The following is an 18,815-nucleotide window of genomic DNA, read 5'->3' on the forward strand; positions in this document are numbered from 1 at the left end:
AATTTAAACCTAGTGTTCTCCAAATATTTTTAGCTTTTTTACAGTTTGATCTCCAAACAATCTAGAGGACAAAGTGGTGGCTCACTGCTGAAAAAGCCCTGCATGCAGTGTAAACCTCCTGCAGCCTTGTCTTCCTAGCTCTATTAACATTGTTCTTTTTCACCCTTTAATCTTTAGACACTCAAAAACACTGTTTTAACCATTTATTCCCCTTTGTGGATGCTAAATATATCTTTTTTCTTCCCTCGAATCCTTACCACAAATTCTTGGAGAACCACGATGAATGCTAACAATTTATAATTACCCTAGAAATCAGATATCACAGTAAGCCTAAGTTACACTTAAATTACACACTACAAATCTACTAGCTTGTGCACTTGTGGTTCATGGAGTGGAAAGGAATCTCTTGGATGGTGCCTGAAACCTGATTTTAACTGCTAAGATGTTTGCTATCTTGTTTGTCTTTGAGCCGGCCCAATTTCAGAAAAATTTCATTGTCATTTAGAAAAATGACTTGGAAATAGGCTATTTCACTACTACCACATCCAACGATTTTAAAAATGGTTATGTAAATAACTAATGATGAATCCATTTTATGTATATAGAGGACTAGGTTAGAAAATATGAACTTAGACAATTCATCTGGCATCTTGTGTCTCATCTTGTTTTCTCATCTATAAAATGGGGATGATAATACTTCACATTTAAAAAAGGTTGATATTATACCAGAATGAGAATGAGTATAGAGATACAACAGGTAGGAGATACATGAAAGACTTATTCAAGATTTAAAGTATTGTTATTTGGAACCAGCAGAAAATTATATCCAGTGTGCCATTCCCAGAGCAAAAGTTTATTCACCTGCACCCTTGATTCTTTCTCTACAACTCATGTAATCACCAAAAGTTATTGCTTTCTTGTCTCAGTGTATTAACTGGATGGTTGAATGCACAGAGCTCACATCTGAATCAGCACAAAACTGAAACCCAGAGGAGGGGAAATAGAAAGGGAGTCGGGCTTACACTGAAGTCATTCTCATCACTCAACGTGCCCACACAAATACTGGGAAATCAACTCATTTAAACAACTTGGGAGGCAAGCTTGGGTTATAATAATGTTCTTGAATGCAGGTCAGTGAAAAATTGGCCTGCACACAAATTCCCACTTGTCATATTCTCTACAAATGCACATTGATTGTTTTCATATTTAAATGCCCAGAATCAACCACAACAAATGTGTCAGGTTGTTGCGAGTTTTTTAAAAAACAAAACAGGATGAACTATGGCATATGGTAAATTATTGTGGGTTCCTTGTGCTCTCAGCAGAATCACAAAAGGGCAAGGACTTAAGAGAAATCATTTGTGTCTGGTTCAAATCCTACAACATAGAAAATGGAACTGGAGCTGAGTTAATGAAATATATTATTAAATCCCAGTTTGTAGTTGGCTGTGTGTCATTAGTCTTATATGCCTGAAAAATGTAGTATTTGCTTACAAGTAGAATACTATACAGTCTTCAGAATGACATAATCTAAAAAGTAATCTTGTTTTTCCGTGTATTTTTCTCTATAGACAAATAATATCTCCTGCTAATCAACCCCCTCCCCACACTTTGCCTTCTTCATAAAAGCTAGGTCCGAGAGCTTCCCACGATTGCCAGCTGGTGCAATCATTCCTCAATGCTAATACTCGGAACTCATCAAAGGTGGCAGTTTTGTGGTCTATAATCCCCAACTGACCAAATCTCATACGTAATAAAAAACCTAAACTTGTATTATATCAGAGTGTAGGTATATGCGGGTGTGGAAGGGGGAGGAGTAAGAGTGATAGCCATGTAAGTAGTCCACCAGCAGTTTAATGGTGTATGTGTGCTCAGAGAAGTCATTGATAATAAGGACCTTTAGAGTCCTGAGACTCTGATAACATGCGGCCAGAAAGGCAACAAAAACAGGAGGGAGAAAGTTTTGACTCTTTCTTGTTGCCTTTACAGCCACATGTTTTTAGAGTCTCGGGAATTTTATTTCCACATCAGATTGCTGCCTGTTATTGGTATAAAGTATCAGTCTCTCGTATAAGAACAACTTAAAAAGGCTAAAAACAGAAAAGACATGCAAAAAGGCTGGGAAACATATGTCTAAGAAGAGACTGGATAAAACCTGCCACAGAGTGAAGAGTGAGCTCTAGCCTAAGTAAACCTGCTGACTTCCTTCCTGGTTCTGAAGCATCAAAATACACACGTGGCAAAACTTACTACAATTTTGGAGAACAGTAACTACATTGAATGGAAAAGGTAGACCTCATTCCCTGTTGAGGGCATCAAATAAATCCTACTTGCAAAATTTGTTTTGTTTATGTCTTGATTCTTAACTGCAAGTTACCTGAGGCAAGATGAATGACAACACTAAGTTTTTCAAATAGAATACAATTATATACCGTTTTTATACATCGATTCAATTGTACAGATTCAATGGCATATAATTGTATTCAAGAAGTATTATTTTAGAAAATCACTGGATTACTATCTGATATAGTAGGCTGAATAATGGACCACTAAAAAGTCCTCAATTGTAATCCCCGGAACCTGCCAATATGCTACTTACATGGCAAGAGGAACTTTACAGATGTGATTAAGTCTGATTAATCTGATTAGTCTTGGGACGGGATTATCCTTGGCTATCCAGGTGGTCCTAGTGTAGTCACAAGTTCCTTAAAAGAAGAAGGCAGAAGACTCAGAGTCAGAAAAAAAAAAAAAAGTGACACCAGAAAGAGAGGTCAGAAAAAGAGGGAGAGAGATTTGAAGCTGCTATGCTGCCAGTCTTGAGGATGGAGGAAAGGGTTAGGAGCCAAGAAGTGTGGGTGGCCTTTAGAAGCTGGAAAGGGTTAGAAAAAACTTCCCTCTTGCAGCTTGCAGGAGGAATGAAGCTCTGCCAATGCTTGTATTTTAGTCTCATGAGACTCATTTTTGACTGTCCTCCAAACTGTAAAATCATGACTTTGTGTTGTTTTAGGCCACTAAGTTTGTGGTAATTTGTTACAGCAGCAATAGGGAACTGATAAATCTGAAAACTTACATCATGAAAATTTTAACAAATATTGTCAATTTTTTTCATCTACCTATCATCAAACAACACCCATTCTAAGTCTGTCTGTTATCTCTCTATCTATTTATCTATCTTCAAATATACTGTCAAACATAAAAAATTTTCTACACTGTAAAATTCCCTCTATGTCACGTACCCCACATTCTGTATCTTGCCTGCCAACTCTACTTTAATTGGGTTGTTCCTGCTGCCTTGCTGACTTCCCCAGTTTCTCTCTTGAATACCTCAACTTGAAGAGCAAATCTCAGTATTATCCTGATACTAAAACCAGACAAAGACATCACATGAAGAGAAAGCCACAGAACAATACCTGTTAGGAATATGGATGCAAACATCCTCAACAACATAGTCAGAAACCAAATCCAGCAACATATAACAGTAATGATACATTATGACCAAGTGGGATTTATTCCAGGGATGCAAGTTTGATTTAATATCTGAAATTCAATTAATGTAAAACATATCAATAGAAGTTTTAAAATCAAATGTTCATTTCAACAGATGCAGAAAGATACAAAATCCAACACACTTTCATGATATAACCACTCAACAACTGGAAATAGCAAAGAACCCCCTTAATCTAATAAAGGACATCTATGAAAAGCCCACAGTTAACATCATTCTTAAGAACAGAAAACTAGATGCTTTCTTCCTAAGATCAGGAACATAACAAAGATGTACACTCTCAACACTTTTATTCAATATTGTACCTGAGGTTCTAGCGAGGACAATTTGGCAAGAAAAAGGAAGAAAATGCATCCAGATTTGAAAAGAAGTAAAAGTACTTCTATTTGCAGAAATCATGATCTTGTATATAGAAACTCCTAAGAAATCTGCTAAAAATCCATTAGTCTTAAGGAATAAGTTCAGCAAGGTTGCAGGATACAAGATAAATTGCAGAAATCAATTGTATTTCTATACACTTGGAATTAAACCCAAAATAAAATGAATTCCATTCACTACAGCATAAAAACAATACTAAATAATGTAACAAAAGAAGTATACAACTTGTACTATTTAAAAAGAACATGAAAAGAAATTAAATGAGATCTAAATAAATGAAAAGCATTCCATGTTCATGGATTAGAAGACAACATTGTTAAGATGGTTATACTCTCCAAAATACTCTACAGAATCAACACAATCTCTATTAGAATCCTAGCTATAACTTACACAAAATTACTTAAATATAAAAATTAATTCAACACAGATCCAGAACCTAAATGTAAGCACAAAACTGTACATTCTTAAAAGAAAATGTAAGTTTTCATGACATTGGATTTGACAACCAATTCTTAGATATGATGCAAAAAGCATAAGTAACAAGTGAAAAAAATAAGACTTTGTCAACAGTAGTTTTTCTTTTTGCTTTAAAGAACACCATTAAGAAAGCAAAAAGAGCCCACAAAATGGAAGAAAATATTTTCAGATCATATATCTGATAAGGGACTTGTATCTGGAATACATAAAGAACTCTAACAACTCAATGATTAAAAGACAAATAGCTCAATTAAGAAATGGCTAAAGAATCTGCATGAAAGGTATACAAATGGCCAAGAAGTACTTGAAAATACATTCCACATCATTATTCATCAGGGAAATGCAAATCAAAACCACAATGAGATATCACTTCACACATGCCAGATTGGCTAGAATCAAAAAGTGAGATAAAAATAATAAGTGTTGGCAAGGACATGGCAAAATTGGAACTCTCATACACTGTTGGCAGGAATAGAAAATGGTGTAGTCCCTTTGGAAAACAGTCTGGAAGTTCTTCAGCAATTAAAGATACAATAATGCCCAGAAACTCTACTCCTAGGTATATACCCCTCAAAAATGAAGACATGTCTACACAGAAATTTGTACATGAGTATCTATAGCAGCATTACTTGCAATAGGCAAAAGGTGGAAACAATTCAAATGCCCATTAATTGACAAATAGATAAAATGTGGTATAACCATATGGTGGAATATTATGCAGCCATGTAAGTGAATGAAATACTGACAAATTTCTACATTGATGAACCTTAAAATGTTATGCTAAGTGAAAGAAGTCAGTCACAAAAATCCCTATATTACATGATTCAATTCATATGAAAGACTAGAATATCTAGAGATAGGAAATAGAGAAGTAGTTGCTTAGGGCTAGAGCAAAAAGGCATGGGGGGGATGTGAGGGTGACAGCTAAAGGATACATGGTTTCTTTTTGAAAAGATGAACTTTCTAAATTTGTCTGGTGATGACTGTACACATATTTTAATACACTAAATCCAATTTTTTTTTTTTTTTTTTTTTGAGACAGAGTCTTGCTCTGTCGCCCAGGCTGGAGTGCAGTGGCATGATCTCGGCTCACTGCAAGCTCTGCCTCCCGGGTTCAGGCCATTCTCCTGCCCCAGCCTCCCGAGTAGCTGGGACTACAGGCGCCCGCCACCATGCCCGGCTAATTTTTTGTATTTTTAGTAGAGACGGGGTTTCACTGGGTTAGCCAGGGTGGTCTCGATCTCCTGACCTCGTGATCTGCCCGCCTCGGCCTCCCAAAGTGCTGGGATTACAGGCGTGAGCCACCGCGCCCGGCCTACTAAATACTATTGACTATACATGTTCAATGAGTGAATTGTATGATATGTGAATTATATCTCAAAAAATGTTTAAAAAAAACATATCATTTCGTTCTAGCTTAGTCTACTAGAACTAGAATCAATGCTTGCCTCCTAGAAGATCATACCGGTCTGATTCCTCTTGCTTACCTTGGCTCAAAGTCATGGCCATGATCCTTTTTAGACAAAGATAGCATAGCATAGCTCTTTGTGAGACCTCTTCCCAGTACACAAATACGGAAGTGACATAACCAGCCCTTTGTTTCCAGGGCTACCCCTGACCTCTACTTGGAAGTTAAATGGTATTTTGCAATAACAAAATACACTTTTTTAAAAAGACCGCAACAGCTTGTGATCCTTAAAATATCATGAGTGACTGCAATTTGGTTTGTTAACAAATAGTTTTTAAAAGGTAAAATAATGGCTCATACAAATATAAAATGAACATGACAGATATTTTATTTAAGTCATTAATTAATGAGAAAACCTGTAAATAAAAAAAAAAACTGCTTCAAGGAGACTCTACAAAGGACAGACACATCTACAGATAATTGGGAATGCTGACATGAGTTTGCTAATGAATAGGAAACTGGCCAATTCTATAGGGTGAGAATCCACTGCATTTTAACAGAACAAAAGCTCATTTGACTTATACAAACAGTAATCATTTACATTACAATCAGCCCCTTACAAGTTAGCTTCTAACTAAACAGAGTTGTAAAATAATCAAAAACAATGAAGGGCTTAAGTTTCCTATAGAATCAGATAACCCTGAAAGGATCTTTTAGAGACCAGGCCTAACAATCCATCAGAAGACATTCAGGAATCTTTCTGTTTCGTATTTTTCACTGTTCACTTTTATTTTAGGTTCAGGGGTACATGGTCAGGTTTGTTGTATAGGTAAACTGCATTTTATGAAGGTTTGGTATACAGATTATTTTATCACCTGGGTAATAAGCATGGCCCCTGATAGGTATTTTTTCTGATCCTCTCCCTAATCCCACCCTCAAGTGGGCCCCAGTGTCTACTGTTCCACTCTTTGTGTTCATGTATTCTCATTGTTTAGCTCCCACTTATAAGTGAGAATACTTCGTGCGTTATTTGGTTTTCTGTTCCTACATTAGTTTGCTTTGGATAATGACCTCCAGCTCCATCCATGTTAATGCAAAGGACATGATCTCATTCTTCTTAATGGCTGCATAGTGCTCCATGGTTTATATGTATCACATTTTCTTTTCTTTTTTTTTAAAAAAAAAAAACAAACTTTTCTTTTAGGTTTAGGGGTACATAATGAAGGTTATATAAATAAACACATGTCATAGGGGTTTCTTTTGCATATTATTTCATTACTCAAGTACTAAGCCAAGTACACAATAGTTATCTTTTCTGCTCCTCTCCCACTTCCCACCCTCCCCCTTCAAGTAGACATCAGTGTCTATTGTTTCCTTCTTTGTGTTCATAAGTTCTCATCATTTAGCTCCCACTTATAAGTGAGAATATGTGGTATTTGGTTTTCAGTCCCTGTGTTAGTTTGCTAAGGATAATAGTCTCCAGCTCCATCCATCATGTTCCCACAAAAGACATGATCTTGTTCTTTTTTATGGCTGCATAGTATTCCATGGTGTATATTTATCACATTTTCTTTATCCAATCTACTGTTGATGGGCATTTAGGTTGATTCCATGTCTTTGCTATTGTGAATAGTGCTGCAATGAACATATGCATGTGTCTTTATGACAGAAACATTTATATTATTTTGGGTATTTATTCAAAAATAAGATTACTGGGTCAAATAGTAATTCTGTTTTAAATTCTCTGAGGAATTTCCACACTGCTTTCCACAATGGCTGAACTAATTTACACTTCCTCAGCAGAGTATAAAGCATTCCCTTTTTTCTGTGACCCTGCCAGCATCTTTTATTTTTTGACCTTTTAATAATAGTCATTCCAACTGGTGTGAGATGGTATCTCACTGTGGTTTTGATTTGCATTTCTCTAATGATTAGTGGTGTTCAGCATTTTTTTAATATGCTTGTTGGCCACATGTATATCTTCTCTCGAAAAGTGTCAGTTCATGTCCTTTGTCTACTTTTTAACAAGGTTGTTTGTTTTTTGCTTGGAATACAGCTAACCATTCACAATTGCTTCAAAGAGAATAAAATACCTAGGAATCCAACTTACAAGGGACGTGAAGGACCTCTTCAAGGAGAACTACAAACCACTGCTCAAGGAAATAAAAGAGGATACAAAGAAATGGAAGAACATTCCATGCTCATGGGTAGGAAGAATCAATATCGTGAAAATGGCCATACTGCCCAAGGTAATTTATAGATCCAATGCCATCCCCATCAAGCTACAAATGACTTTCTTCACAGAATTGGAAAAAACTACTTTAAAGTTCATATGGAACCAAAAAAGAGCCCACATCGCCAAGTCAATCCTAAGCCAAAAGAACAAAGCTGGAGGCATCACACTACCTGACTTCAAACTATACTACAAGGCTACAGTAACCAAAACAGCATGGTACTGGTACCAAAACAGAGATATAGATCAATGGAACAGAACAGAGCCCTCAGAAATAACGCTGCATATCTACAACCATCTGATCTTTGACAAACCTGAGAAAAACAAGCAATGGGGAAAGGATTCCCTATTTAATAAATGGTGCTGGGAAAACTGGCTAGCCATATGTAGAAAGCTGAAACTGGATCCCTTCCTTACACCTTATACAAAAATTAATTTGAGATGGATTAAAGACTTAAACGTTAGACCTAAAACCATAAAAATCCTAGAAGAAAACCTAGGCATTACCACTCAGGACATAGGCATGGACAAGGACTTCATGTCTAAAACACTAAAAGCAATGGCAACAAAAGCCAAAATTGACAAATGGGATCTAATTAAACTAAAGAGCTTCTGCACAGCAAAAGAAACTACCATCAGAGTGAACAGGCAACCTACACAATGGGAGAAAATTTTCCCAACCTTCTAATCTGACAAAGGGCTAATATCCAGAATCTACAATGAACTCAAACAAATTTACAAGAAAAAAACAAACAACCCCATCAAAAAGTGGGCAAAGGACATGAACAGACACTTCTCAAAAGAAGACATTTATGCAGCCAAAAAACACATGAAAAAATGCTCACCATCACTGGCTATCAGAGAAATGCAAATCAAAACCACAATGAGATACCATCTCACACCAGTTAGAATGGTGATCATTAAAAAGTCAGGAGACAACGGGTGCTGGAGAGGATGTGGAGAAATAGGAACACTTTTACACTGTTGGTGGGACTGTAAACTAGTTCAACCATTGTGGAAGTCAGTGTGGCGATTCCTCAGGGATCTAGAACTAGAAATACCATTTGACCCAGCCATCCCATTACTGAGTATATACCCAAAGGACTATAAATCATGCTACTATAAAGACACATGCACACGTATGTTTATTGCGGCACTATTCACGATAGCAAAGACTTGGAACCAATCCAAATGTCCAACAATGATAGACTGGATTAAGAAAATGTGGCACATATACACCATGGAATACTATGCAGCCATAAAAAATGATGAGTTCATGTCCCTTGTAGGGACATGGATGAAATTGGAAATCATCATTCTCAGTAAACCATCTCAAGAACAAAAAACCAAACACCGCATATTCTCACTCACAGGTGGGAATTGAGCAATGAGAACACATGGACACAGGAAGGGGAACATCACACTCTGGGGACTGTTGTGGGGTGGGGGGAGGGATAGCTTTAGGAGATATACCTAATGCTAAATGACGAGTTAATGGGTGCAGCACACCAGCATGGCACATGTATACATATGTAACTAACCTGCACATTGTGCACATGTACCCTAAAACTTAAAGTACAATAATAATAAAATAAAAAATAAAAAGATCTCTACAATGACAATTGCAAAACATTGCTCAAAGAAATCAGAGATGACAGAAACAAATGGAAAAAGATTGCATGCTCATAAATAGGAAGAATCAATATTGTTAAAATGGCCATACTGTCCTAAGCAATTTAGAGATTCAATGCTATTCCTATTGGACTACCAATGATATTCTTCACAGAATTAGAAAACACTATTTTAAAGTTCTTATGGAACCAAACAAATAGCCTGAATAGCCAAGGCATTCTTAAGCAAAATGAACAAAGCTGGAGACATCGCCTGACTTGAAGCTATGCTACAAGGGTACAGTAACCAAAACAGCATGGTACTGGTACAAAAACAGACACATAGACCAAAGGAACAGAACAGAGAGCCCAGAAGTAATACCACACACCAATAATCATCTGATCTTCAGCAAAGCTGACAAAAACAAGCAATGGGGAAAAGACTCCCTATTTAATAAATGGTGCTGGGGTAGCTGGCTAGCCATATGTAGAAGATTGAAACTGGACCCCTTCCTTACACTACATGCAAACATCAACTCAAGATGGAGTATAGACTTAAATGTAAAACCTAAAACTATAAAAATCCTGGGGATAACCTAAGAAATACCATTCTGGACACAGAATCCAGCAAAGATTTCATGACGAAGACACTAAAAGGAATTGCAAAAAAACCAAAAATTGATAAATGGGACCTAATTAAACTAAAGAGCTTCTGCAGAGCAAAAGAAACTGTCAAGAGAGTAAATAACCTACAGAAAGGGAGAAAATATTTGCAAACTATGCATCTGACAAAGGTCTAATATACAGAGGCTATAAGGAACTTAATTTTCTATTCGATTTGATCTATCAAATTTCATCAGTTCTAACATGGATATTTTCCTATATCTGCAATTATAATCAGTATATTTTTTCTTAGTATACATAAAATAATACACATCTTACAATCAATGGCATCGTAAATGTGATAAAATGCAATCATTTCACCAACTCGTTAACTCGAGAAAAGGGTTTGGGGGTGGAAGACCTCAGCTAGCATCTATTTTAGGAAGGACCAGAGGGGAAAAGATTGCCAATGCCAATTTTATTGTCACCTTTGATCTGTAATGCATCTTTTTTTTTTCTGGAAAAATGTTTTAACATATTTAATTCAATTCAGAGTAAGTTATTGATTATAGAAGACTTACAGTATGAAAGACATCGTCCTTGACTCAGACAAGAAATACTGATGTCACAGTTTCAGAGTGTCTTTTTTAAGCACTGGTCTGCAAAATCAATAATTAATATAATAACAAAGACATCTAAAAACACAAAACATCTCACACATTAGTGGCACTAGCTCACAAGAGGTTATAACCTAAGTGGGAATAGCTATAGCTATACTATGACAACTGCCTACAATCACTTTGTGAGTTGCAGTGGAGTGAGAATTAAGAGCATTTCTCACTGAAAATGCATTATTAGCAAGTGTAATTTTACAGATGCATGAACTGTTCCCTTGTTAGGCTGACACTTAAAAATTTTAATAGAAAACTCCTGCAGAAAACCATGGTACCTGTATATGCTTATTACAGCTTTTTTATTTTCATAGAGATGAAAAATCTTTTCAAACTGTTTTCTCATAATTTCTCTCTTTCAAAACTCTTTCCCCTAGGTTAAAAGAGTTGAGTCTCTTTTAGTCAATGCTGAGAAGTTATTTCCTTGTAATTTACTTCTATATTTCTTTGAAAGAAACGTAAAAGAAAGAACAATGAATACATAATTTCAATCTCAATATGAGTGCTATATAAAGGGGCCTGGGCAAATGGAAGGCAACTCCATTTAATATTTTCCTTAGGCAAAAGTGTAGAAAAGTTAAAAGTTCTGTCCGTCAGAATTTCACTTTTCTTGCCATTACTTTCCATTCTGTGCCATTATCTTCTCTTTCATATCACCTTTGCTTTCCCATGTAGTTACCTTCCTCCTATCTTCTCTTTATCCCAAATTTACATTCTCTTTATTCCAAATTTAAATTTTTTAAACATCAACTTATTTTATATAAGTCCTTCACTTACTAATTGGAAAGAAAGATAAATAGTATTGAAGACTTGATTTCAAATTTTGAGTGCATTAATCCATAATTATGTAAATTTAGGACAATTAGAGATTTTAATTACTATTTCCATATCTGAAAAATACAGACAATCCAACCTGTCACACAGACCTATTGTAATATTTAAAAGACTCTTTAAAAATGTGAAATATCATATGAACATTAATATTACAATTCTGATTATTGTTCCCATCCTTTGTGAAAAGTCAAAAACTTCTGGAAATACCTCAAACCCATACATAGAGTATACTGCCACTTGACTGTATAGGTATTACATGGAATATCAACCTAAATACACCCTGCTAAATTCACCAGGATTATCTAGGAAGGAAACCCAACTTTGAGCTATTAACACCCATTAACACAAATTTATAAATCAGATTAAGTAGCTATCTCCTGGCAGGAGACTGAAAGACTGGAGTAGTTTTAGTAAATTATTGAAGAGAATCTTTGTTCTGGGAATATGTAGAGTATGGAACATGGCTGAGTAGGGAGACAAGGGGAATGGGGAGGATGAAGCTATCATGAGGCAGAAGCCAGTGTGCTGGGTTCTGAAAAATATACAAGAAGGGGCAGAATTCTAGGGTTAATGATTAGGATGAGCAGTGGCTCCATTTAGAACTTCAAAAATCAGTGTAAGACTGGAATTCAGATTTCCCAAAGGTGAAAATATGAGTGTTGGAATGTTTACAATAATGATTTGTATGTTTCCATGAGTTAAAGTTTGAATAGAGTCACTTCAAAATATAATTGTGGCCTCTGAAAAACCTTGCCAGAGCCTTTGCTGTTAACTTTTCCCCTTCAGAGGGTTCCCTGATGCTACTCTTGTCCTACTCAAGCAACCTCAACTAGGAGATGTGGAAGATTTCCATTCTGGCCATATGGTAGCCCATATATCCTGAAATTCTCCTGATACCAGACTCTTAGACATAATACATAACTTATTATAAATGTTCTGTAACTAACATGCTAAGCTCACAAGAAAATAAACTCTTCAGTGGTATAAAATTGAAGGAGCTGGAAAACAGGGCACCTGCACAGAGAATGTTCGCTTCTTTCCTTAACTAAGATGCCTTTCTTTTCAGATACATGTCAATCAAGAGTCAACATGTTGGGCCTCGATAAAGTAGAGTTAGGACTGAGGTTCTATATAAATTCACTGCTACGTCTTTAACAGAAGGGTAGACTTGTGTCTTAGTCTGTTTGGGTTACTCTAATAAAATACCATAAACTAGATAGCTTACAAACATCACAAATTTATTGCTCACAGTTCTGGAGGTGGAGAACTGCAAGATCAAGGTACCACGGATTTGGCATCTGGAACTCCAGATCCATTGCCTGGTTTATAGATGGTACCTTCTTACTGAGTGGTGGAAGAGGCAAGTGTCTCTCTCAGGCCTCTTTTATAAGGGCATTAATCCCATTCACGAGGGTTCATGATCTACTCACCTCCCAATGTCTCCTCCTCCTGATAATATCACATTGATGATTAAGTTTCAACATACAAATTGGGAGTGGAGGCATAAACCTTCAGACCATAGCAACTAGGAAATAACTGGTCTGCCAGAAAAGGTTCGGAACAAGGAAACATCTCTCTATCAGCCTGGGCTTTCACAGAGGCAAAAACTAAAAAAGACACCTCAATTCCTTGTGGTTTTAATTAACACTGAAAGCGTCTTCAGGAAAATCTTATACCAAGGTAGCTAAGTATTCCAGGATTGGTTATACCTCAGGGCACTGGCAGAAGCACCTTAAAATCTCATGTCAAAGAACATGCTCAACCTAACCTTCTACATATTTCCACAGGAAAAAAAAAGACAACCACATATATAAAACACAGGATAAAGTGTCTATCATGAGTGAGAATAAAAGAAATATTTAAAAATAGCAGTATTATCAAAAAGGCAAAAAATTAATAGATGCTGGTGAGGCTGAAGAGAAAAGGAACACATATACTGCTGGTGGGAATGGAAATTAGTTCAGCCATGGTGGAGAGCAGTTTAGCGATTTTTCAAAGAACTCAAAGCAGAATTACCATTTGACCCAGCAATCCCATTATTGGGTATATATCCAAAGAAATAGAAATCATTCTACCATAAAGAACATGTACATGTATGTCCATCACAGCACTAGCCACAATAGCAAAGACACCGAATCAACTGAAATCCTCATCAACGGTAGACTGGATAAATAAAATGTGGTACATATACACCATGGAATATCACACAGCCATAAAAAGAACAAGATCATGCGTTTGCAGCAACATAGATGGAGCTGGTGGCCATTATCCTAAGTGAACTAACACAAAAACAGAAAACCAAATACTACATGTTCTCACTTATAAGTGGAAGTGAAATGTTGAGTTCACATAGACACAAAGAAGGGAACAACAGATGCCAATGTCTAGTTGAGGGTGCAGGGTAAGGACTGAAAAATTACCTATTGGATACTATGCTTATTACCTGGGTGCTAAAATAATCTGTATATAAAACCCCTGTGACATGCAATATACCTATATAGCAAACCTGCACATGTACCTCTGAACCTAAAAGAAACATTAAAAGTAATTGGAAACAGAAAATTTGAGACTCCTTCTCAAAAAATAAAAAAAAGGAAAATAGCAGAATTAGGTCAAAAAAGAGATGAAGAAACTAGAATGCTCAAATACCATATTGTATTCCACCAAATATAAGATACCATGTATTATAATAGGCCCCAATTTTTAAATATCTAAAAAAACTCCTATCAATTAAATTATGATTTTTAACAATCTAATAGATTAAATAATTCATCTCAATTTCTGATATTTTAAAAATCTGCTTACATATTTAAAAAAGTAAATATATAATTAAAATACTGGCAACAAACAAGACGTGATCTTAAATTTTTTGAGATAAAAAAGAGTGAAAAATAAAATCTATGAAATTCAAAACACAATCATTAAATGGCAGATTAGAAACAGCCAAAGACAGAAACAGTGAAAAGAAAGATGAAAACAAACAAACAAACAAACATAGAATGCACAAAGAATAAACAAGGAAAAGGGATGATGAGGCCTAATATGTTTACTAACAGTTCAAGGAGAAAAGAATAGAAAAAAATGGAGGGGAAGCAATCGAAGAAGATAAACGGCTAAGAATTTTCAGAATTGATGAACTATACCAATTATCAGAATGAATAAAAAGCAACTAGAACAAAAGAAACGTTACATGCAAACATATTGTTGTAAAACTTTAGAATATCAAAGCAAAACTTAAGGTCTAGAAAACGTGACAGATTATAAACAAATCAGAACTAATTTCATTGATTGTAGATTTTTTCAACAGAAACAACAGCAATCCATATGAATATGGCTGAAAGAAAACTAAAATAAATTTTTTAAGATATACATAGATAAAATGTTCAAGATGATGAATGAAGCAAAGGCATTTTTTGACAGAAGAGCAGACTCCTAGTCATTCTCTTCTTCCCTACTGATGGAACCTCAGTTTTATTTGGAGTGACAATGTAGTTGGATTCAAAATTGCACACGTAGCCTTCCTTGAAGCTAGGGTGGCTATGTGATACAATTCTGGCCACTGAGGCAAAAGATGAGACACAGGAAGGGTTTCTGAGAATGCCGGGAATCCCTGATGTCTCTGATTCCCGTTACAGATCCTTCCTGCTCCCTTCCCTTTCCTCTCTTCTGATGCCTACTGGGCACAATACAGCTGGAGTTGCAAAAGACATCTTAGATTTTCAGGCAAAGGCTGAGGAAATAATAGAAACCTTGCCCTGTAGGTACTTACCTCTGCACTTTGCTACATGAGGAAACCAACAAAAAGGCTTTTTTTTTAAAGCCACCATTTCAGTCCATTATAGTAACTTAATTCTATTTGTTACAGACTGCAGAAGAAAACTTGATTATTAACAGAAATACGATTGTGTATAGAAAACCAAGTGAGTGTACAGTCACGTTTTCAGATATAATTAATGTTCATCAATATGTTAACATTAAAATAGACAAAAATGAATTATATGTCTATATATCACCAACAGAAAATGTAATTTTTTAAAGTATAATTTATACTAGGACACAAAATATAGGGTTTATAGAAATAAACCTTATAAAAATGCATAGGATGTTTATAGAGAAAGTTATAAAATTATTGAAAGGAATTTAAAAGTTCTAAGTAAATAGAAAGCTAAACTAAATTTGTGGATGGGAAGACTCAATTTCATGTAGAAATTTCCTTCCCCAATTTTTTGAGTCTTCCCAAATTAATCTAGACATTAAATGTAATTGCAGCAAAAATTATAATAGAATTGTGTGAGAGAGGCACTTGTCAAGTTACTTCTAAAATTTATAAAGAAGAGCAGGCCGGTGTGGTGACTCATGCCTGTAATCCCAGCACTTTGGGAGGCCGAGGTGGGTGAATCACAAAGTCAGGAGTTGGAGACAAGCCTGGCCAACCTGGTGAAACCCTGTCTCTACTAAGAATGCAAACAAAACAAAACAAAACAAAAATTAGCTGGGTGTGGTGGCAGTCGTCTGTAATCCCAGTTACTCAGGAGGCCGAGGCAGGAGAATCACTTGAACCCAGGAGGCGGAGGTTGCAGTGAGCCGAAATTGCACCATTGCACTCCAGCCCAGGCGACAGTGAGACACTCCGTCTCGAACAAACAAATGAGCAAAATGCCAGGAATAGAGTGACAATTTTGAAGAACAAGGTCTGAGGACTCAACTTAGCACATTTCAATATTTATTATAAAGCTATGGTAATGAAGGCAGCGTGGCTCCAGCACAGGAACAGGTATGTAAGCCAATGGAACAAAACAGATCCAAGAAACATACCCATACATATGAACACCTGTGCTACACTGCAAATCACTGGAGAAAGGATTAATAAATGATGTTAGGGCAATTCATTATCTTTAAAAAACTAGATCCTTACATCATATACAAAAATCAACTTCAGGTGAAAGAAAAGACCTAAACACGAAACTTAAATGAGAGTATCTTTATGACCATGGGGAATAGAAAGATAACTTACACGAAAATGACTAAACTGATAAATTTTGACTGCATTTAACTCAATAAACTCTGTTCATATAAAAACACCATAAACAAATTGAAAAGCCAAAGTACGGCCAGGAAAAAGAGGCTTCAGAACTTCTAAGAATTAACATCCCAATGGAAAAATAGGCAAAAGAAAGTAGCAATTCACAGAAGAAGAAACCAGCATGAATAATAACTACAAAAAGATGCTTATCCTTATCAGCAGAGACCACAAAAACATATCATTTACACTCATCAGGCTGACAAAAATGATTAAGTTTGGTAATAGCAAGAATTGTTGACGATATGGAGCAGGGGAACTTAATATGTATTCCTGGGCTGAATACACATGGGTACAATCACTGTGTAGAGCAATATGGTGTATCTCACAAAGGTGAAGATGTGATTATCTATGACACAGCTATTTTACTGCCAACTGTATATATCCTAGAGAAACTCTTGTACAAGACACAAGTCAAAGAATATTCATAGCATATTGCTATGAAATAAAAGACTGTAAACATAGGCAGCTTCAGTAATATTTGAAACGTTTCACTCCTGGGTGATCGGTACCTAGGTATCAGTCACACAATTTTTTTTTTTTAAACGTTAGAATGGCATGTGAAATATTGCGAACTGGTAACAGATAAATCCAACTACTTTTAGAACTTGTGGCATCATGTACTTAGAGTGGGTGGAGATAGGTAGAGATCAAGCCACGGGGCCGCACATGAGGACCTTGACAAGTTTCTTCACAAAAACTTGCTTACTCCCATTAACCCAAGAAGTGAGCTGCCCCTGACTAAGTGTCTGCATATTCTTTCTCTTTCTGCAAGCCCACCTTCACCCTGTCCCTTTGTAGCCATGACTGACAAAATAACCCTGACCTCAGGGCTCTTTCACAGACAACAGCACTGAGGAAGGCAGGGACCCTCTCTGTGAATGAAATCTACCCACTTTTCTTCAAGTCAACATGATGTCACATTTATTTTTATTAACTTTTAATGAGGCAATATTACCTATCAGAAGACCCCATGAATTAGCGCTTTTACAACAGGTAATTGATGAAACACTTTGTATTTCAACTTTATTGCTTTGCATATGCCATGAAGTTTTTTTTTTATTTTTATGAAGTTTAGAAAAAATAATTACTTCAAAAGTCAAAGTGATGTGTAACTATATAAATAAGTAATGGCATATTACATGCAGGCCGGATCAAAAGTTATCTCAGGAAGGTTAAGAGCCCTGCCCTCATCATGCTGAAGGCCCCCTTACCAGAGAAAGCCTTACACAGAATTAGGATGTGTGATACGATTTGACTCCAGGTCCCCACCCAAATTGCATGTTGAATTGTATGTAATTCCCAATTGTTGGTGGAGGAACCTGGTGGGAGGTGACGGAATCATGGGAGTGGGCTTCCCCCTTGCTGTTCTCGTGGTAGTGACTGACTTCTCATGAGATTTGATGGTTTAAAAGTCTGTGGCACGTCCCCCATCGCTCTCATTCTCTCTTGCTGCCATGTGAAGAAGGTGCCTGCTTCCCTTTCACCTCCCACCATGACTGTAAGTTTCCTGAGGCCTCCTGGTCATGCTTCCTGGTAAGCCTGCATAACTGTGAGTCAGTTAAACCTCTTTTCTTCATAAATTACCCAGTCTCAGGTAGTTCTTTACAGCAATGTGAGCATGGACTAATACAATGTGCATACTACTGTGGGAAGTATAGGATCAAAGGACATTCTAAAGATAACAGAAGAATCATGTCTAACATATGACTCTTTTTTATTACTATAAGATAAAGGAAGCTGGGGCACCTGCTCCTAGTGCCAACGGTCCTCTTTGCTCAGTGCTCCTTTGTCTTGCTGCCAGCCCTGAAAAGTGTGATCGCTCCTAGATCCAGCAGGAAGTTCATCACTGTCTAGATTGGGTGCCCTTGGAAATAATGAGAACTAGAAAAAATAAAACAGTTGTTTGGGGCCAGAATGTTTTCAAAAAAGCTTCCAATGGGAGCTCAGGTCAATTTCAGCTAAACAGCTTCAAAGCCTGTCACATATTTCTGTGCACTGGAGGAGATGTGTTCT

General features: G+C 36.4%; 1 protein-coding gene across 43 annotated transcripts in view, besides 2 other annotated features; it reads right to left on the bottom strand.

The window, feature by feature from the left end:
• The window catches only part of TPK1 (thiamin pyrophosphokinase 1), a 384,497-nt gene that overhangs the window by 76,524 nt on the left and 289,158 nt on the right, over window positions 1-18,815 (bottom strand). For 3 of the 43 annotated variants that reach the window (NR_146936.2, NM_001350881.1, XM_017011969.2), the window contains one exon: window positions 2,600-2,705. The exons of 39 other annotated variants lie outside the window; for them this stretch is intronic. Coding sequence is in view for 3 of the 4 variants with exons in the window: in NM_001350881.1 (NP_001337810.1) it covers window positions 2,600-2,705 (106 nt within the window). In the remaining variant the exon portion in view is untranslated. Of the gene's footprint in view, window positions 1-2,599; window positions 2,706-10,370; window positions 18,684-18,815 lie in introns of those variants that run through there. One more of the 43 variants, XM_011516040.3, reaches the window with a different exon arrangement.
• Window positions 897-966: a silencer, noted in NCBI's record as "silent region_18730". NCBI's record gives its function as "represses an Ori minimal core promoter by ATAC-STARR-seq in GM12878 lymphoblastoid cells {active_cell/tissue: GM12878}" and the evidence as "EXISTENCE:reporter gene assay evidence [ECO:0000049][PMID:35858748]".
• Window positions 6,078-6,951: an enhancer, noted in NCBI's record as "OCT4-NANOG-H3K4me1 hESC enhancer chr7:144231635-144232508 (GRCh37/hg19 assembly coordinates)". NCBI's record gives its function as "activates a minimal SCP1, AML or CMV promoter by ChIP-STARR-seq in primed H9 embryonic stem cells {active_cell/tissue: H9 hESC(primed)}" and the evidence as "EXISTENCE:reporter gene assay evidence [ECO:0000049][PMID:30033119]".

The sequence above is a fragment of the Homo sapiens genome, chromosome 7, assembly GCF_000001405.40.
Source record: "Homo sapiens chromosome 7, GRCh38.p14 Primary Assembly".
NCBI classification, from domain to species: domain Eukaryota; kingdom Metazoa; phylum Chordata; class Mammalia; order Primates; family Hominidae; genus Homo; species Homo sapiens.